The sequence below is a fragment of the Homo sapiens genome, chromosome 4 (assembly GCF_000001405.40).
Source record: "Homo sapiens chromosome 4, GRCh38.p14 Primary Assembly".
Taxonomy (NCBI): Eukaryota; Metazoa; Chordata; class Mammalia; order Primates; family Hominidae; genus Homo; species Homo sapiens.
The window spans coordinates 186,309,244-186,331,279 of NC_000004.12; the positions used below are offsets into that span (position 1 = coordinate 186,309,244).

Consider the following 22,036-nt stretch of genomic DNA (forward strand, 5'->3'; position numbering starts at 1 on the left):
GTCTCCAACAATTTCCCAGGCGCCTCTGCTGCTGCTGGTTCAGGAGCCACACTCTGAGAAGCACGGGGAAGCAGGTGAATGTTGGGAAGACATTCTGCAAGACAGGAGTGGCAGAGGCGACATTCTCATGGTGGAGAAAAGGAACAAAGCACCCGAGACAGTCCTGGAACTGCTTCCTGCCAGTCCACTTGCTGTAGAATCAGCCGCTGTGGGAGGAGTGAAGGCATGGGGCCAGGAGCTTGACGTTCTGAATTGGAATCTTCCCTCTACCATTTACTGACTGGGTCATCTTGGGCAACTTACTGACCCATTCCGTGACGCAGTTCCCATAAGACGGGGATGGTGATGACAATAGTTACCTAAGTCACTGTGAGGGTTAAACGAGTCGTAGAAAGTACATTTTGAGGAGTGCTTGGCATATTTTAGGTGTACAAAGTATCCTATTAGAGATAAATCAGCTGCTCTTTTCGTTCTTCTGATGGATTGCTAATGAACAAATATCCATGAAGGAAGAAAACCAGTTGTAGCTTTTTGTGGTTCAGGAGAAGGGCTGCCATGTCTCTTTGGACAAAATTTGTATCTACTCTAAGGCATACAAAACAGTGCCAAGAGAATACATTTTAAAATGAGCTTTAAAAAAAAAAAAAACTTAGGCCAGGCGCGGTGGCTCATGCTTGTAATCCCAGCACTTTGGGAGGCTGTGGAGGGCGGATCGCCTGAGGTCGGGAGTTCGAGACCAGGCTGGCGAACATGGTGAAACCCCGTCTCTACTAAAAATACAAAAAGTAGCCACGTGTGGTGGTAGGCACCTGTAATCCTAGCTACTCTGGAGACTGAGGCAGGAGAATCCCTTGAACCCAGGAGGCAGAGGTTGTAGTGAGCTGAGATTGCGCGCCTGCACTCCAGCCTGGGCGACAACAGCGAAACTCCATCTCAAAAAAAAAAAAAAAAATTTAGCCATTTTAATAGGTCTACAGTGGTATCTCATTCTTTTTAAATGTGTATTTCCATAAGAACATATGATGTTGAGCATCTTTCTTATGCTCATTTGCTGGTGAAGTGTCTGTTCAGACCTTTGCCCATTTTTTTAATGGGGTTGTTTGTCCTCTTATTATTTAGTTTTATACATTCTTTATATATATTGGATTCAAGCCCTTTATCAGATATGTGTTCTGCAAAATTTTCTTCCAGTCTTTGGCTTGTCTTTTCATCCTCCAGCAGTGTCTTTTTGTTTCCAATTCTAATTTGATTTTATTTTTTAACTTCTATTTTAGTTTCAGGGGTACAGGTGCAGGTTTGTTATACAGGTAAATTGCATGTTGCAGGGCTTGGGTGTACAGATTATTTAATCACCCAGGTAATAAGCATGGTGTGCCGTAGGTAGATTTTTGATCCTCCCCCTCCTCCCGCCCCCCAGTCTCAAGTAGACCCTGGTGTCTAATGTTCCCTTCTTTGTGTCCCTGTGTACTCAATGTTTAGCTCCCACTTATAAGTGAGAACATGCAGTATTTGGTTTTCTGTTCCTGCGTTAGTTTGCTTAGGATAACTGCCTCCAGCTTCATCCATGTTGCTGCAAAGGACACGATTTTATTCTTTTTATGGTTGAATACTATTCCATGGTGTATATGTGCCATATTTTCTTATCCAGTCTACCATGGATGGGCATCTAGGTTGATGCCATGTCTTTGCTATTGTGAATAGTGCTGCAATGAACACATGCATGCATGTGTCTTTATGGTAGAATGATTGTGTATTCCTTTGGGTATATACTCAGGAATGGGATCGCTGAGTCGAATGGTAGTTCTGTTTTAAGTTTTTTGAGAAATTGCTAAACTTCTTTCCACAGTGGCTGAACTAATTTACATTCCCACCAGCTGTATATAAGCGTTCCATTTTCTCTGCAACCTCACCAGCATCTCTTAACAGTGTCTTGTGCAAAGTAGGAGTTTTTAATTTTAATGCAGTCTAACTTACTTTTTTTTGTTTCATGAATTGTATTTTTGATGTTGTATCCAAAAATTCATCACCAAAATCAAGGTCATATAAATTATTGTATGTTTTCTTCTGGAAGTTTTACAGGTTTGCATTTTAAAATTAGGCCTATGATTCACTTTGAGTTAATCTTTGTGAAAGACATAAATTCTATGTCTAGGTTCAAAGCCATGACCCAGTTATTACCCTGTGAGGACAGGTTTGGCTGGCATGGCTCTGAGGAGCCAGAAGACAGCATGAGGACCTGTGGCAAGAAGGAAAGAAGAAGGAAAGGACACCGGAAACTGTAGCTGGAAAAGACACAAGGCAAACTTTGTAATTGGTCTCAGGCTAGTTCTGTAAGAGTGGAAACACATTCACTAATTTTTAATAATGTAAAATTTGGACCATTGAAAGATTCAAATAATGGCTGTAGGTGGTCAAAAAGGAGGATTCTGACACTTTTGTTAGTGAAACATTATCCGTATCTTAGTTGTTGCATCAAAGGACACATTGAATTGGGCTGTGGCAACTGCAGCCTCCCTGTGTGCCCAACCCCCACTCCACATGCGTGGTCGGCTCCAGAGGTGGGATTGTTCCACCGTGGAAGGTGCTCACATGTGGGGAGCCCAGCACCTCTCTTGGCCTGCCTTTGTGTTCTCCTAACTCTATCAGTAATAGAATAAATAAAGTAGAACTTTAACCTTCAGACTGCTAAAACAAATGTCTTCTGTGTTGCCGTTTCTTTAAATGTGAATAAAAGCCTCCTTCCTTCCTTCCTTCTCTCCTTCCTTCCTTCTCTCCTTCCTTCCTTCCTCCTCCTCCTCCTCTTTCTCCTCCTCCTCCTCCTTCTTCTTCCTCTTCTCCTTCTTCCCCTTCTTCTTCTTCCTCTTCTCCTTCCTCTTCTTCTTCTTCCTTCTTCTTTTCAATTTTATATGGCACTAAGACAATATCCCAGGACCACCCTATTCGTAAACTGCCATCACCCAAACTTGTCATAGGATTGCTTTAGATCTGGATTGTGATGATGTAATAGCAATGTTTATCATGCTTTTATTGTGAGCCTGGTGCTATACTAATTTATATAAAGATGATCTCGTTTAAAATTCCCAATAACATGCAAGAGCTGATGGTATTTTCCCTGTTTTATGAATGAAGAAGCCGAGACTCTGACGGGTTAGGTGGCTTGTCTGTGGACACTCCCTCAATAAGGAGCAGGGCTGGCTGGCAGGCTTGCTCTGACCCCATCAGCAATACTCTCCACTCCCCTGCCACGGTGCCTGCTGCCGGAGGGATCTCCAATCACTCAGCTGAATTTTAATTTTATCTTATGGATGAAGAGTCACGTTTGAGAGTATACTGAATGGAATTTTTCCACGTACCGTTGGTACTATGAATTGTAACTACGTAAGATTGAATTGAGAGCTGGCAGGGGAGCTTTGCTTGGCAAAAATCAGAAGTGGGGAAATTAAGGCTGGGCTGGAGCTAATGTACAGTAGCGGAGACTTCTAAGGCTCATTCATATTTCAGCCTCCTCTCCATCTGGGCTTCTCCCACCCCCCGATTCTGCTGCAATTAGGCAGAGCCATGCTACTATTTCTGATGAATGAATTGTGGTGAAAAATAATGTAGCTTAAATATAGCTTAATAGGCAGGAACATGTATTTACTTGTTGGTATAAAATGTGTAGAAATAGGCCAGGTACGGTAGCTTATGCCGTAATCCCAGCACTTTGGGAGGCCGACACGGGCGGATCAGCAGAGGTCGCGAGTTCAAGACCATCCTGACCAACGTGGAGAAACCCCATCTCTACTAAAAATACATAATTAGCCGGGCATGGTGGCGTGCGCCTGTAATCCCAGCTACTCGGGAGGCTGAAGCAGGAGAATCACTTGGACCCAGAAGGCGGAGGTTGCGGTGACCTGAGATGACACCATTGCACTCCAGCCTGGGCAACAAGAGTGAAACTCCATCTAAAAAAAATAAAAAGGTCAAGAAATGTTGCCTCCTGTTGTGACGATCACTTGGATTCATGGGGAGAAATCTCACTTGGGATTACCCGGGGGTCAGTCAACTACAAAGTTGCCCAGACACACAGAGGACTTTGCACAAGTGAGAAGTCAACTCGTTGGGTTTTAACCACAGACTTGAGCGTTGGTGGTTCACATGGCATCGCCTGGCCTTCCCGGCAAATGGGCTCTCCGTTAGCCCGTTACCTCCAGTTTAGGTGATAGGCACACTGACATGCTCCCTCCCCGCCATGCTCACAATTTATCTTCTATAATTTTGAAATAATTCAGACTTCTTTGGAAAAGCTTCTGTCATTTACTTCAGTCTGGAGGTTGAGGATCCTCCGTAGAGTAGGCGCCAGCCACAATTTTAAAAGGTGTTCCTATGATCTCTTATTTCCTGCAGACGGAAGGAGTCGGGTTTCTGTGCTGTGCCTACTGCAGGGAAGGGGCTGGAAATGGATTCTCTCATCGGAGTTATTGAGGACCTGGACCGAGGCTCAGGTGTTTCTGGGCACTTTAGAAATGATTCTTACTTTTCTTCCGTATTGAAAATCAAAAAAAAGGAAGATGTTATTTCAGCTCATACACTGTAACAAAATTGGTGATATTTAGCTTTCCTATTTACCCCATTTTTTGAGGCAGCAGAAATTCAAGCTATAACACCATCAACACCTGTGAAGGGATTTATTGGTAGAGATGGAGTTTCTTATCCACTGAATCCTTGTGTTGAGTGGAGTGGGCTCACATTCAACAGCTACTATAGCAGTCATAGAGGTCACATTTCACTAAATCATAAGTATTCTAGTAAAACAAATGCAAGGCTGGGTGCAGTGGCTCACGCCTGTAATCCCAGTATTTCAGCAGGCTGAAGCAGGAGCATCGCTGGAGCCCAGTTAAAGACCAGCCTGAGCAACATAGTGAGACCTTGTCTCTACAAAAGCAAAAAATTAGCTGGGTGTGGTGGCACTCACCTGTAGTCTCAGCTACTCAGGAAGCTGAGGCAAGAGAGCTGCTTGAGCCCAGGAGGTCAAGGCTACAGAGAGTTATCATCATCGCACCACTGCACTCCAGCTTGGGCAACAGAGCAAGATGCTGTTTCAAAAATAAATAGATGCATATATTTGCATATGTACATGCATCTAAGTTATAGATGCATCTATTTTATATATATGAATCTATTAATATAGATGCACCTATTATATATAAAAATAGATGCATCTATTATATATATATAATATATATGCATCTATTATACATATATAATATATGCATCTAATTATATATTATATATTATATAAATTATATAAAATATATTAAAATATATATTATAAATTATATAAATATATATTATTATATATAATAGATGCATATATATTTTCTATATATATATGCAAATATATATTTTGGAGCTATTTGGGTAAAAGTAAAATTATAGAATTGATTCTCAATGAAATACCATTTATTTAATAAAATGGTAGAATTAGTCACTTTTCTGTATTACATCATTATTTTTACATTTTGAAGCATTTTACTTTCAGCAATTATTTGCACAGTTGGAATCTTTAGAGGAAACGCAGAGAATTTGGGATGCCATGCTGGCCTGAAATTTCAATCCCAAGAGCACTGACTGCCAGATAATCAGTGTGAATGAGAAGGAAGACTTCGACTCAAATCTAGGACTAGATTAAAATTATAGATAGATAGATAGATAGATAGATAGATAGATAGATAGAATTAGCTTAGTTTATATGCATAATATGTATATATAATTATACATTAAATGTGGTTATTACATATTAGAATAAAGTTAAATTGTACACTTGTGCATATACACACGTACACATATATATACACATATGTGCCATAACAAGCATTTTGAATATATAGGTAGGTGAAAAGAAAGAAATGAGTAAGAGAAGGAGGGAGAGAGGGAAGGAAGGAAAATTAGATTGTACTAGAATGAAATACATGAAAATATTAACAATGATTATTGATGAATGGTGAAATTATATGGACTATTTTAAAAAAATACCACATGATATTTTATTTAATAACAATACATTGTTCTAATAATCACTAAAGTAAAACAACAATGAATGCAAATTAAAAGAAGCAATATGAATGGTACTAAGTTCATACCTAAGCATACTTTAAAGAAAAAGTTATTTTATTTTTTAAAATAAGCTTTATTATTTCATTGAGAAATGCCTCTCATTTGCAAAAGTGTACTCTGAACTTCTGATTTGCAGTCCAGCACATAAAGAGCTTGACATCATCCCTCACATCCTAACAACAGGAACAAAGCTGAATGAACTGGACACCAGCAACTTTTCTTGGATCCGTCAGAGAATTGAGGTCACTGGACATGCCACCGCCTTAAAATTGGAGAGGCAGACAGACAAACCCAGAGAATTATAGCTTAATTCAAACACAGCCCAGGAGCAGCAATCGCCACTGGAGCCAGTACTGGGGTAGGAAAACTTAGACTGCAATTGACAAATTTCTGAAGGCTCTTGTAGATAAGCTTGAGCATTAAAAATGCCAGAAGGGGGCCTGGTCTGGGGTGGGGGCACACTTTTGTGAGTTTTACCTCCAGAAGCCCTGCGGTTCTCATGGTGAGAAAAGAGAAAAATCCCCTCTTGCTTCCCAAAGGGAGCCGTTTTGAGATATGCCCAGAGCATTTTGTGCTCCTTAACAAGACCCATCTTCTAAATTTACAAGGAAAGGCAAAAGATCCAGATGACTAGACACAATATTAAAGGAAAAGAACCAAGTTGAAGAGTTGACATTACCTAACTTCAAGACTTATCGTAAAGCTATAGTAATCAAGACAATGTGGTATTGGTGAAAGAATAGAAAAATCGACCAGCGGAACAGAGTAGACAGCCCACACCCGCACAGATCCCATCAAGCAATCTTTGAAATAGACAAATCGAGCAGCGGAACGGAGTAGACAGCCCACACCCGCACAGATCCCATCAAGCAATCTTTGAAAAGGGCGCAAAGACGTTTCAGTGGAGAATGGATAGTCTTTTCAGGAAATGGCTCTGGAATATCTGCATGCGTAAGAAATGAATTAGACAGAGTTTACATATTTCTTACATATTTCACAAATAATTAACTGAAGATGAATCAAAAGTCTAAATGTAAAATGTAAAACTATGAAACTCCTAGAAGATAATAGGAGAAAATCCAGGTGGCCTCGGGTATGACGATGACTGTTCAGATACAACACCAAAAGTATGGTCCATGAAAGAAAAAAATTATGTCAGACTTCATTAAAATCAAAAACTTCTGCTCTGCAAAAAACTCTGTTAAGAGAATGAACAGACATGCCACAGACATGCAAAAACACACACTTGATAAAGGATTTGAATCCAAAATACACTAAGAACTCTATTTTTTTTTTTTTTTTGAGACAGAGTCTCCCTCTGTCGCCCAGGCTGGAGTGCGGTGGTGCGATCTCAGCTCACTACAACCTCCACCTCCCCAGTTCAAGTGATTCTCCTGCCTCAGCCTCCTGAGTAGCTGGGACTACAGGCATGTGCCACCATGCTGGGCTAATTTTTTTGTATTTTTAGTAGAGACGGGATTTCACTGTGTTAGCCAGGATGGTCTCGATCCCCTGACCTCGTGATCCTCCCGCCTTGGCCTCCCAAAGTGCTGGGATTACAAACAAAGAACTTTTAAAACTCAACAATAAGAAAACAAACAACCCAATTACAAAATGAGCCAAAGATCTGAACAGATACCTCATCCAAGATATACAGGTAGCAAATAAGCATATGGAAAGATGCTCAACATCATGTTATTAGAGAAATGCAAACTAAAGCAACAATAAGACACCACTACATACCTATTAGAATGGCTAAAATCCAAAATGCTGACACCACCAAATGCTAGAGAGGATGTGAAGCAACAGGAGCTCTCATTCATTGTTTTGTCCTTACAAAACTAAATAAACTCTTACTATATAACATGGAAAATGCATGTCTTGGTATTTATCCGAAAGGGCTGAAAAACTATGCACACATAAAAGCCTGAATGTAGATTGTATATGCTTTACTCATAATTGCCAAAACTAGAAAGCACCTAAGATGTTATCCAATAGGAGAATAAATAAACAAACTGTAGGACAAGGTTGTAATGGAATATTATTTAGCAATAAAAAGAAACAAGCTATCAAGCCATTAAAAGACATGGGGGAATCTTAAAGGCATATTGCTAAGAGAAAGAAGCCAATCTAAGCCCGGCACTCACACCTGTAATCCCAGCACTTTCGGAGGCAGAGGTGGGCGGATCACAAGGTCAGGAGATAGAGACCATCCTGGCTAACATGGTGAAACCCCGTCTCTACTAAAAATACAAAAATTAGCTGGGCATGGTGGCATGCACCTGTAATCCCAGGTACCCAGGAGGCTGAGGCAGGGGAAACACTTGAACCTGGGAGGCAGAGATTGCAGTGAGTCGAGATCGCACCATTGCACTCCAGCCTGGGTGACAGAGTGAGACTCTGTCTCAAAAAAAAAAAAAAAAAAAAAAAAGAAAAAGAAAAAAAAAGAGAAAGAAGCCAATCTGAAAAGGCTGCATGCTGCGTCAATCCAACTATGACATTCTGGAAAAACCAAAAGTATGGAAATAGTAAAAAAAAAATCAGTGGCCAGGCGCGGTGGCTCATGCCTGTAATCCCAGCACTTTGGGAGGCTGAGGCAGGCAGATCACCTGAGGTCGGGAGTTCGAGACTAGCCTGACCAACACGGAGAAACCCTGTCTCTACTAAAAATACAAAAAAATCAGCTGGATGTGGTGATGCATGCCTGTAATCACAGCTACTCGGGAGGCTGAGGCAGGAGAATCGCTTGAACTCAGGAGGCAGAGGTTGTGGTGAGCTGAGATCGTGCTATTGCACTCCAGCCTGGGCAACAAGAGTGAAACTCCGTCTAAAAAAAAAAAAATCAGTGATTGTCTAGGATTTGTGAGGTGGAAGGAAAGGATGGATGGGTGGAACACGAGGTTTTTAGGGCTGTGAAATTATTCAGCATGATGCTATAATGACGGTTGTATGTCATTATACATTTGTCAAAACCCATAACATCTACATGTAACCAAGAGTTAGCCCTAATGTAAACTACAGATTTTAGCTAAGAATCATGTAACAATATGTTCATCAGTTTTAACAAATGTCCTCCGCTAATGCAAGATGTTAGGAGAACCTGGAAGGGTAGGAGAAGAATACATAAGAACCCTCTGTATTTTATGCTTAATTTTTCTGCAAATCTAAAACTGCTCTATAAAATAAAGTCTACTAATTTTTAAAAGTGTACACCGATTTGGAAATAAGTCCTACTACACAAAACGTGATGGGTAAGCCTGAACTCCGGGTCCAGACTGCTTGAGTGAGCTGGGACAAATGACGTGTGGAAAATAGCAGGAACAGTGCCTGGCCATAGGGCTGGTTTGAAAGGGCAGATGAAAATCTATGGGGAGCAGATGGCCAAGTGCCTCCAGATGGTTATAACATTAGATAGAGTTCTCATAAGATAATTTCTACTAGTAAGAACCACTCACAATGGGACTCGGCTCTCTTCTGAAATAGTTTCATGTCGCTCAAGTATCCAAGCACAGACTGATGGATGAATTCAGTATTCAGTATTGGTTTTGAAAAGAAACACGGCATTATAAGGATGATCAAATAGTACGTTCTGTAATGTGCTGGAATTTTGGGATCGTCTGAAAGAAGGTGACATGTAAAACCACTTAGGAGATTGTAAAAGCCAAACATTCAAGACGTTGTTTGTGAGGATCGTCTTTTTTTTTTACTGCACATTTCAGCTCATTGTCAAACAAATTTCTACAGAGCCTTGGAATTATATAGTATCAGCATTGGAGAAAACATCAGTGCTCATAAAATCAGCCGCACTTTACAGATGTGGAGTAAGAGGTGCTCAAAGATTGAGTTTCCCTGGTCACAAAGCTAATCAGTGATAAAGTTGAGTTCAAGCTGTGGCTCTAAACCTCACTTCAGGACTCATTTTATTATATATGCTGCCACTGTTATTATTAGTCACAGTAACGGTTTCAAAATCCTAAAGACCCCACATTTGCATTGAAACCAAGATAATTTGGTTTTTCTTTCCGGAGTCCCTCCTCAATGCTCCACGGTCATCAGTCAGCGCCTTTTTGGGAGAAAATGTTTCCAGCTGCCACTCTTTGTAGAAGTTGCTCCCATTTGCTGTTCTATGTCTACAACGCTGCATATCAAAATTTTACAACACGTGGGCGATGACATTTACTTACTAACATAATAGCACCTTCACACTAAACAATTTTCAAATCACTATTATATTACCTCTTTGTAATAGGCTTATAAAGTTGACAGGACAGAATTTTATTTTAATCTTCATGTTATAGATGGCAAACTGGGGTTCAGAGAAGTTGCATGACTCACCTACATTCACAGAGCCAATCCGTGTGTGAAGTGGGTTTTGACACAAGTCTCCTGGCTTCTTTATCTGGTGCGGCCTCATTTGCTGTTGCTATTTGGAAATAAGGTGTTACAGAAGCTACTTAATATGCTTGATTCAAAGTCATTTGTTTGGCTAAAGAAATAATGTCTTAATAATAATTCTTTAAAAGTATTTTATAATATTTGATATAGGCAAAAGAACATAAGTAAGCTATATGTTACCTATTATGAAGCACAATAATAAAATAAACACCTGTGAACTCATCCTCTCAAAATACCTTGAAGCTACCTGTGTGTCTTCTTCATATTATTACTTTGTCTTTCCCCCAGAGGTAATGCTTATCATTATCTCTTTTAAAAATGTTTATTTTTTAAAAGCTAGCCCAACATTATCTGTATCTCTAACATTATGTTGTTTAGCTTTGTTTGTTTTTAAGTTACACTAAATATTTTTCCAGGCTGTATGCTGTCTTCAGCAAATTGCTCTTTTCATTCAATATTTGATTTTTAAGATATTTTATTTTCTGTAACAGTTTATCCATGTTCTGCTAAATCATATTCCATCATGTGAAATAGCACAAAATATTTATGCATTTGTTTTGCATCAGTGGACATTTGGGTTGTTGAGAACTTTTTTCTGTTGTGAACAACGATAAATGGAATTTTCATGTTTGTCTCCTGTGCACCCATGTAAGTATTTACAACTGGGTATGAAATTGGTGGGTTAAGGACGAGACAAGTATTCAAACTCATGAAATGCTGCCATACTGGTTTCCAAAGCTGTTGTGACAATTTGAGTTATCAGATCTTAGTTTTTTCCAGTCTACTGTTGATAAAATAATACGTCATTGAGATCTCAGGACGTATTTCCTGAGAAGCTAATGAGGGTAAATTACTTTTTGTGGTTATTTGTAATTTGGGCTTTCTTCTCTGAAATAATTCTTCATGTCTTTTGCCCATTGTTTTTTGTTTTCTTTGCTAGGTAGGGATTTTTTGGTCAAATGTAGTGTATGTATGTATCCTCTCCCAGTTTATGGCTTTCCTTTTCATCTCCTTTCTATTTTCTTTTCCTTTTTTTTTTTTTTTTTTTGAGATAGAGTCTTGCTCTCGTCACCAGGCTGGAGCGCAGTGGCGCGATCTTGGCTCACTGCAACCTCCGCCTCCCAGGTTCAAGCGATTCTCCTGCCTCAGCCTCCCGAGTAACTGGGACTACAGGCGCCCACCACCACGCCCAGCTAATTTTTGTATCTTTAGTAGAGACGTGGTTTTGCCATGTTGCCCAGGCTGGTCTGGAACTCCTGACCTCAGGTGATCCACTAATCTCGGCCTCCCAAAGTGCTGGGATTACAGGCGTGAGCCACTGCACCCGGCCTAAAGCATTTTCATGTACTCAAATATTTCATATAGTGAACAGTCTTTTATGGTTAATACTTTTAGGTCATATGAAAAATCCTTCTTCACTATTAAGTTTATAAAATTGTTTTTCTAAAACATGTAAAGAGGGTTTTGTTTTCCATTTAAGTCTTTAACCCATCAGGAATTTACTTTAGTGTATGGTAATAGTAGGGATCCAGCTTTTCCTCACATGGATGACCAACTGTCCCCACCTGATCTTTTGGAAACCTGATCTTTTCCTCAGTTACAGGCAATGTCACCACTGCTGTCTTATTTCAGTTTTCTCTATCTGTGAGGGTCTATTTCTCGACTTGTGATTTCGTTCCTCTGTTCAGTTTGTGGATCCTACTGCCCGTGCCTTAACTAACATTGCTTTACAGCCTGTGTTGATATCCGCCAAGAACTGCTCTCAGAGTCTCAACAGAGTCCTGTCTATTATATGTTTGTTATTCCATGTTAACTTTAGAATCATATTTTTGTCATGTTTGTCAAAAGTGGCAGAAGAAAGAAAAGAATCTATGGGGGTTTGACTGGAATTGGATTGAGTCTAGCCTATACTATTGATTGTACTGTCGCAAACTTGGTAATATTGATTCTTTCCATCCATGAACATATTACAGAATCTTTTCATTTCTTTTGTCTTTATCATTATCTTTCAGTATAGTTTTTTTTTTTTTTTTTGTTCTCCATAGTGGTTTCAAACATCTCTCACTAATTGTATTTCTGGATGTCTTGTTTTTTTTAATATGTTTTACTTGTAAAGCCACCCGGGCCTGCTGATTTCTCTGTACAAACAATTTTGACTATAGATTCAATCATTTTAATGGCAAAAATACTTGTCTTAATAGAATGTCTAAAGACACTAAGCGGTTAAAAATACTTTTCTGCAGAGAGGAATTGAATTTTCTTCTGCTGGGAGCCAGGGAGCACGTCTGAGCTAGAGCCACTTCAGCGCCTTTGTGGGGTCCCCCTCCCCTGCCCACGGCCCTGCTGCCTCTGGATTGCTGCTGGCATATGGCCCTCAGAGAAACCAAGCTTTCCTGTGAATAATACCTAGTGAATGATATTTTATGTGAATAATACCTAGTGAATGATACTTTTCTGTGAATAATACCTAGTGATTGATAGATACTTTTATGTGAATAATACCTACTGAATAATAGTTTATGTGACTAATACTTAGTACTTAGGGCCCTGATTTTAATTCAAGTTATTACAATAAAAATTTATTTTCTTTATTTTGTAATTGCCCCTTTTGATATTTCTCTGATTTCCGGTGAGCTCAGAAATGCACAAAAGAAAAAAAAAACATGTTGTATGGAGGACGTAGATGTTTTTCAGGGAAAGGACTCTTTAGAATATCCAGCCTGAACTTCTGCCAAAAATAAACATCTCCAGACTGGCTCTTAGGTAGGCACTTGGCATTATTCACGGCTCCCAATTCCTAACAACAACAACAAATTTTGCAATGCTGAGTGTGATGAAGGGTAGCTGAGAAGCGTTCCCTTTCATTTAGAGATAATCACAGTCTTAAAAAAGAAAGATCTTTATTTAAGATAGGCAGTGATTAAGCCACCCCTTGCAATGCCACTGCCCCCCAAGTTTTCTACACATCTACCACTCAGAATGGCACAATGGAAATATCTCAATGCAACAGCAATACTATGGAATGCTTACCACATGTAGGCACCATATACAGTCACACGATTCCTATTTATGTATATGCTTACTTGCGTTCACTGGAAGGATTGCCTTGCTTATCATTATTGAATTCCAGTGAGGCCTGCATGCGGCAGGTGTGCCCAGCTTGGACTGGCCAAGCTGCAGTTTGTGATCGTGCTCCCACCTTTCCAAGCCGTCTGCTCACCCTTATTGATGTGGACTTGAATATCTGGGCATGACTCTCAAGCATGTTTCCAAGGGCTCCTGTCACTCACCACTCTTGAATGTGAGAACTGTGCCTCGTGCATCACTATGTCAACCAGCTAGCCTGGTACATGTTTGCTGTACCGAACTCTTCAGAGGGGGCTGGGAGTAAAGGATACAACTTATCCCCTTTCTGCGTAAGCTTGGCTATTTATGATGTTTCAAATAAAAAATAACATGGTTCTATCTACTAATTTGTAGCTTGGTTTACATTAACACACACATACATTCACACACACACACTCAGAGTCCATCAAATAAGTGGAAATATCCAAAGTTTATCTGGGGGAGTATCACTCATAGGAAATACATAGACGCAGCCTAATGAACACGCAGGCTTGTGTTTGCCCTGATTTTATATTTCATGCACGTAGAATCTGGATTCCATTCTATCTGGTTTGTGAAAAAGTTTTCACCATTTACTCTTTTTCAAATAACAAACATTTCTTGTGAACTTACAAATGTATACTATGCTGTAATGTTCAGCAACACAACTAAAAGAAAGGGACTAGGTACCAGCCCTACAGGAACTCTGATTCTCCTATACGAATTAGATAAACAGGCTGGGCACAGTGACTCACGCCTGTAATCTCAACACTTTGGGAGGCCGAAGCAGGGGGATCACAAGGTCAGGAGTTCGAGACCAGCCTGACCAACATAGTGAAACCCCGTCTCTACTAAAATACAAAAATTAGCCAGGTGTGGTGGTGGGCACCTGTAATCCGAGATACTTGGGAGGCTGAGGCAAGACAATTACTTGAACGTGGCGGGTGGAGGTTTCAGTGAGCCAAGACTGCACCACTGCACTCCAGCCTGGGCAACAGGGCAAGACTCTGTCTCCAAAAACAAAAACAAAAACAAAACAAAGAATTAGATAAACAGTTGCAGGAGGGTAAAAAGTGCTTTGAAATATGTACATACAAAGAATCAGGACAGTAACCAAGAGTGATTACTTCTGCCTCAGTTAGGAAAGAATTAACAGGAGTAATTACAGTTGAGCCAGATAGGAGTTTTCCAGGAGGAGCACAACATCAACATGTCATACAGAGGGAACAGCATGATGTAGTGAAATTGCAATGAGAAAAGCATGAGTTTACATTCTGGACTCATCACTCTCCAGTTTTTGGTTAACAATCACTTTCCTTTGAGAGAATCATTTCTTCTTTGCAAATTAGGCACAATTACTTATCTCAGACATAGCACAGGATTGACTGAGATAAATTATGAAGTGCTTAGCACAGCACAGCACTCCTAAAAGTCAGTCAAGTGGTGGTAGTTATACTTTGCAAAGACAAATAAGTCATATGCAGGAGGCTGAGGCAGGAGGACCAGCCTGGGCAACATAGCAAGACCCTGTCTCTACAAAAAATAAAAAAAGTAGCCTGGCATTGAGAGGTGACAGCGTGCTGGCAGTCCTCACAGCCCTGGCTCGCTCCTGGCGCCTCCTCTGCCTGGGCTCCCACTTTGGCGGCACTTGAGGAGCCCTTCAGCCCACCGCTGCACTGTGGGAGCCCCTTTCTGGGCTGGCCAAGGCCGGAGCCCGCTCCCTCAGCTTGCGGGGAGGTGTGGAGGGAGAGGCGCGAGCGGGAACCGGGGCTGCGTGCGGCGCTTGCGGGCCAGCTGGAGTTCCGGGTGGGCGTGGGCTTGGCGGCCCCACACTCGGAGCAGCCGGCCGGCCCTGCCGGCCCCGGGCAATGAGGGGCTTAGCATCCAGGCCAGTGGCTGCGGAGGGTGTACTGGGTCCCCCAGCAGTGCCGGCCCACCGGCGCTGCGCTTGATTTCTCACCGGGCCTTAGCTGCCTTCCCGCCGGGCAGGGCTCGGGACCTGCAGCCCGCCATGCCTGAGCCTCCCACCCGCTTCACGGGCTCCTGTGCGGCCCGAGCCTCTCCGATGAGCGCCGCCCCCTGCTCCACGGCGCCCAGTCCCATCGACCACCCAAGGGCTGAGGAGTGCGGGCGCACGGCGCGGGACTGGGTGAAGCCAGCTGGGCTCCTGAGTCTGGTGGGGACGTGGAGAACGTTTATGTCTAGCTCAGGGATTGTAAATACACCAATCGGCACCCTGTGTCTAGCTCAGGGTTTGTGAATGCACCAGTCAACACTCTGTATCTAGCTACTCTGGTGGGGCCTTGGAGAACCTGTGTGTCCACACTCTGTATCTAACTAATCTGGTGGGGACGTGGAGAACCTTTGTATCTAGCGCAGGGATTGTAAACGCACCAATCAGCGCCGTCAAAACAGACCATTCAGCTCTACCAATCAGCAGGATGTGGGTGGGGCCGGATAAGAGAATAAAAGCAGGCTGCGGAGCCAGCAGTGGCAACCCGCTGGGGTCCCCTTCCACAGTGTGGAAGCTTTGTTCTTTCATTCTTTGCAATAAATCTTGCTGCTGCTCACTCTTTGGGTCCACGCTGCTTTTATGAGCTGTAACACTCACCGCGAAGGTCTGCAGCTTCTCTCCTGAGCCAGTGAGACCACGAACCCACCAGAAGGAAGAAACTCCGAACACATCCGAATATCAGAAGGAACAGACTCCAGACGCGCCACCTTAAGAGCTTTAACACTCACCGCGAGGGTCCGCGGCTTCATTCTTGAAGTCAGTGAGACCAAGAACCCACCAATTCCGGACACAGCATGGTGGCTCACGCCTGTAATCCCAGCACTTCAAGAGGCTGAGGAAACACTGCCTGAGCCCAGGAGATCGAGGCTGCCATAAGCTGCGATCGCATCACAGCTCTCCAGCCGGGGTGAGGGAACAAGAACCTGTCTCTTAAAAAATAAAACATAAATTAGTCCTGAGCAAGAAATAAAATGTTGGTTGAAAATTTTTAAAGTATTTTCCAAAGTGTCCAGAGTCTCATTCCCCATTGTCTATTTCCCATCTGTATTTGATCTGACTTTGAAAAGGTCTTTGAATAAATTGAAGAGCTTGAAGATGGTGAAGAGAAAAATGTTTTGCCCAACTTTACTGTTGTTTAATTAAACTTTTTGTTTTGAGATATTGGTAAGTTCACATGTAGTTTTAAGAAACAATACAGGGAGATCCCAGGTACTCTGGTAAGTTTTCCCCAGTGGTAACACTGGGCAAAGCTACAGTAGAATAGCACAACCAGGATACTAACATGGATGCAGTGGAGACACAACATTCCCAAGACCACAAGCATCTCTCATGTGGCCCGGTTATAGCCTACCCCACTGTCCACCTGCCCCCACCCCTCCCGAACCCTGACAACCATTAATCTAGCCTGCTTTTCTATTATTTTGTCATTTCAAGAATGTTATGTAAATGGAATCATCTAGCACGGGAACCTTTTGGGATTGGCGTCCCCCTCCCTCACTCGTGGTTCCCTGAAGATTCAGCCAGGTTCTTTAATGTATTGGTGGTTCATTCCTTTTGATTGCTGGATAGTGTTCTGTGATATGGATGTAACACAGTTTAACCATTCACTTGCTGAAGGACAACTGGGTTATTTCCAGTTTTTGTCTCTTATGAATCAAGTTGCTATAAACATCCTTGTATAGGTTGCTGTATAAACAGTCTTCATCTCTCTGGGATCAGTGCCCAAAACAGTAATTGCTAGGTCATATGATTGTGTGTGTGTGTGTGTGTGTGTGTGTGTCTGTGTTTAAGAAACTGCCAAACGTTTCAAACTGTTTTCCGAGTGGCTGTAGCAGCTTACATTCCCACCAGCTCTGCGTGAGTGGTCCCACCAAATCCTTGCCAGCTTTTGGTGTCCTTTTTTTTTTTTTTTGGTAGCCATTTTAATAGGTATATAGCGATGCGAAGTGATTTTACTTTACACTTCTCTAATGACTAACTTATTGAGGATCTTTTCATATACTTATTTGCCATCAGTAAAATGTCTGTTTGTGTCTTTTGCCAATTTTCTAATTGGATTTTTGGTTTTTACTGTGGGGTTTTCAGAGTTCCTTTTATGTTCTAGATATTATTTCTTTGCCGTACATGTGTTTTGCAAATATTTTCTCCCACTCTCTAATTTGCTTTTTCCCCGTCTTTTCAGGATCACTGGCAAAGCAAGCAAAAGTTTTAGTTTTGATGAAGTTCAGTTTTCAATGTTTCATGTCATGTCCTGTGTTTTTGGTATCGTCTAACTCTTTGCTTAGTCCTAGATCTTGAAGATTTCCTTAATTTATTTTTTCTAAAAATTTGCACATCTACATTTTACATTCAAGTCTATGATTCATTAATTTTGTATAATATGTGAGAATAGATCAAGGTACATTGTTTTTGCCTACGGATATCCAATTGCTCCAAAAATCAGTTGGGCATATTTATGGGGGTCTTATTTTTTTAGTTCACCATTCTGTTCTGCTTATTTACACATCTATCCCTTTGCCAATACCACAGCCTTGATTACTGTAGCTATATAAAGTCTTGAAATTGGGTAGACTGATTCTTCTCACTTTATTCTTCATTTTAAAAACTGTTTTTGTTATTTCTGTTTTTTGCTTTTTCATAGAAATTTTACAGTGATCTTACCTGTATGAATAAAAATTGCTCCGGGCTTTTGATAGGAATCTTAACAAACCTGCGCATCAATTTGTGGAGAATAAATATCTTTACTCTGTTGAGTCTTTCAGTCTGTGAACACAGAATGTCTTTCCATTTATCTGGATCTTGATTTCTTCATCAGCATTCTGTAGTTGTCAGCACATATAAATGTTTTCTAGATTTACACCTAAGTATTTCATTTTTTTGAGTGGTTGTAAATGGTGCTTTCTATCTTAATTTTTGGTGTCCATGTATTCATTGCCAGTGTATGGAAATACAAATTATTCTTTATCTTGTTGAATTCACTTATTCACCCAAATATCACATCTTATAGAAAATTAACTCAAAATGAGTCACGAACTTATATGTAAAAGGTAGATGTGTAAATTTTTAGAAAAAGAAAATTACGGAAATCTTCAGAATTTAGGGCTAAGCCTAAAGAGTTCTTTGACTTGATACCAAAAGCACAGTACATACAAGGAAAATGGAAAAATCGCAATTCAACAAAACTAAAACTTTTGCTTTGCAAAAGATCCTGAAAAGAGAAAAAAAATTATGGCATGGAAGAAAATATTTGCAAACACATATACAAAAACTATGAAGGTTTTTTGGTAATGTTTTTTGTTTTTGCTTTTAAATTACTTGAAATTTTCTTTGTAGAAAGTCACGTCACCTGTAAATAAGGGCAGGTTTATTGCTTCCTTTTCAATCTGTTTGTCTTCTTTTCTACTTTATGTCTTATTCTCCTGACTGGAACTTCTTGTACTGTGTTGAGGAAGAGTGATGAGAGTAGGTATGCTTGTTTTGTTTCTCGTCTTGGGGGAAAATTCAGCCTTTCAACATTGACTACAATATTTACTGTAGGTGTTTTGTAGATGTCCTTTAATCAAGTTAAGGAAGTTCTGTATATGTTCTGAAAATTTTCTTTTTTATTTTAGATATTTTTATTTCTCCTAATTTGTTATTTATCAGGAGTGACTGAAATAAAAAATATAATTGAGCCCTGTCATCATTATCATGGAAATGGCTTTAAGAGAAAACTGATCAGATGAATACTATTGCCTCCCATTTTCAACCACGAAACAGTTGCCACTGATAAATTGACAGTCAGGAGTCTGTCAAGAATGCTCAAGATATGTTATATAATACAACATGCCTGTTCACAGGGGGAAGCATCCTAGGAAATAACTTATGTGTACTTCTGATTTCATCATACAAGACAAGCACAAACGCACCACCCATGCCTCTGAGAACATTGGACCATGCACCCTTGAAAAAAGCTCTGCCTCCTTCATCAGGAGCAATCTTCCTCCAGCAGTGAAGCCTGCCTGTGTACATGATGTCAGCTGCACCCTGACTGCATCATCATTCCGTGGCGAACAGCGTCAAATGGATAGGAAGTCAACCCAGCAACGGCAGTGACGGACTGCGCGATCATACGGCTGATGACATGTGAGTGTTCCTGGAATCTGGAAGCATTCTCCTTGCAGTGTCATAGACACCGAAGCAGGCAGCTCGGTAGATGATAATACCCTGCACAGACCTGTTAGAGCCTTGGTACAGGCCTTTAATCCCATCAGATTTGTAGATCTTAACCAGGCGGTCACCAAGGCCTTGGAATTCCCTTTCAGCTCCAGCTTTACCCACATCAGCTGCTAGATGGGTACGGTCAAAATCAAGAGGGTATACAAAACATAAGGATGTGGCCCCAGGGGCACCACCTGATGCCAGACTCCCTGCAAACTTGTGCCAAAACTGGATCCTCTTGTCACACCCCCCGGGAAGATCTGCTTGTTTTTATCTTTGAAGGCAAAGTTGAGAGCGTGGGTAGGGAAGTATCTGATGACATTGGCCAGGTTACCGTGCCAGAGGGACAGGACTCCTGCTCCTTGGGAATGCGGACCATGCAGTCTACAACGCCCGTGTATTGCTTATCTGCGGTGATCTGCTTGCTGGCACTCTGCACCTGCAGCAGCAGCTTGACCCCTCCGTGGGTGCCACCGCCATCTTGGAGATGGCCGCGGTCACTCCACCTGCCAGGAAGTCCTTGGCAAGGACACAGCGGCATCTGTCATGTTGAAAGGAAGAGGAGGCAGGCGGCTGCGGGATGGGACTGGGCGGGAACCGGCTTTGACTCTGGGGCTGCAGGGCGGAAATTTTCATTATGAATAAGTATACAAATATTATAAACTGTTTATTCTGCCTTGATTTGATGTAATGTTATTTTTCTTTTTTAGTCTATATTAATATGGTGGATAATTACTGATTGACTTTTGAATATTGAACCAGCCTTGCATCCCTGGAATAAACCCTTTTTGATAATAGCCTATAATTTGTTTCATATACATTTTTTTCTTTTTCTTTTATTTTCGAGACAGAATCTCACTCTGTCGCCCAGGCTGGAGTGCAGTGGCGCGATCTCAGCTCAGTGCAACCTCCACCTCCCGGGTTCAAGCAATTCTCCTGCCTCAGCCTACAAAGTAGCTAGGATTACAGGCCCGCACCAGCACACCCCGCTAATTTATTTTTATTTTTATTTTTAATAGAGACAGGGTTTCACCATGTTGGCCGGGCTGGTCTCGAACACCTGACCTCAAGTGATCTGCTCGCCTCCACCTCCCGAAGTGTTGGGATTACAGGCGTGAGCCACAGCACCCGGCCTGTTCCCTATATTGTTGAATTCTAATTGCTAATATTTTGTTAAGGATTTTTGCTTGTATACTTATGAGGAATATTCATCTGTAGTTTTCTTTTTTCTCTGTCTTCATCTGGTTTTGGTATCACAGTAATACTCATTTCATAAAATAAATGGAAAAGTATTCCTTCTTGTCTTATTTGCTGAAAAAGATTGTGTAGAATTTTTGGTAATTCTCTTTTAATGTTTGATAGAATTTTCCAGTGCAACCCTCTGTGCCTGGGAATTTCTTTTTTGTAATTTTTTAAAAGTATGAATTCAATTTTCTTAATAGTTGCATTTTGTTTTATATTGGGTGTTGGGGTCGTGTGGGTTTTTTTTTGTGGAATTAGTCCATTTTTGTCTACGTTGTCAAATTTATGTAAATAGAGCTATTTGTAATGGCCTTTTATTATCTTTTTGATGTCTCAAGAGTCTGTAGTGGTAGTACATGTTTCCTTCTTAATAGTAATATTTTGCCTCCCCTCTCTTTTTGTCTTTGTCTATTTTGCTGGAGGTTTATCGGTTGTGTTGGTCTTTTCAAATAACCAGTTCTTTGATTAATTTCTCCATTTTTTTATGTTTTCAATTTTACTGATTTTTCTTTTTATTATTTGATTCCTTCAGCTTGCTTTACTAATTTGAGACTTTTTCTCTTTACTAATATATTAATATTATTAGGTTGGCACAAAAATATTTGTGGTTTTTGCCATTGAAAGTAATGTTAAATTTTTTTTTTCTCAGCATTCCTTTAGCAATGTCCCACAAATTTTGGTCTGTTGTATTTTCATTTAGTTCTATCTATTTTTAAATTTTGCTATAAGACTTTCTCTTTAACCCACAAATTATTTAGAAGTGTATTGTTTCGTTTCCAAGTGTTTGGACAGCTTCCTTTATCTCTCTGTTTTTTATTTCTAGTGATTGCATTGTGGTCAGAGAACATCCTCTGCATAATCCAAATTATTTAAAATTTGTTGAGTTTTTTCTTATGGCCAAAGATATGGTCTATCCTTGTGTATGCTCCATGGTCTCTTGGGAAGAATGTTTATACTGCTGTCATTGGGTGCAGTGTTCTACAC

At 40.8% G+C, this 22,036-nt stretch overlaps 1 long non-coding RNA gene and 1 pseudogene across 1 annotated transcript in view, besides 1 other annotated feature; both read right to left on the bottom strand.

The window, feature by feature from the left end:
• Positions 1 to 22,036, bottom strand: part of F11-AS1 (F11 antisense RNA 1) — a 214,961-nt gene that overhangs the window by 23,146 nt on the left and 169,779 nt on the right. The window lies entirely within an intron of this gene.
• Positions 15,088 to 15,589: an enhancer, noted in NCBI's record as "H3K4me1 hESC enhancer chr4:187245485-187245986 (GRCh37/hg19 assembly coordinates)". NCBI's record gives its function as "activates a minimal SCP1, AML or CMV promoter by ChIP-STARR-seq in naive H9 embryonic stem cells {active_cell/tissue: H9 hESC(naive)}" and the evidence as "EXISTENCE:reporter gene assay evidence [ECO:0000049][PMID:30033119]".
• On the bottom strand, positions 19,212 to 20,433 carry SLC25A5P6 (solute carrier family 25 member 5 pseudogene 6; annotated as a pseudogene).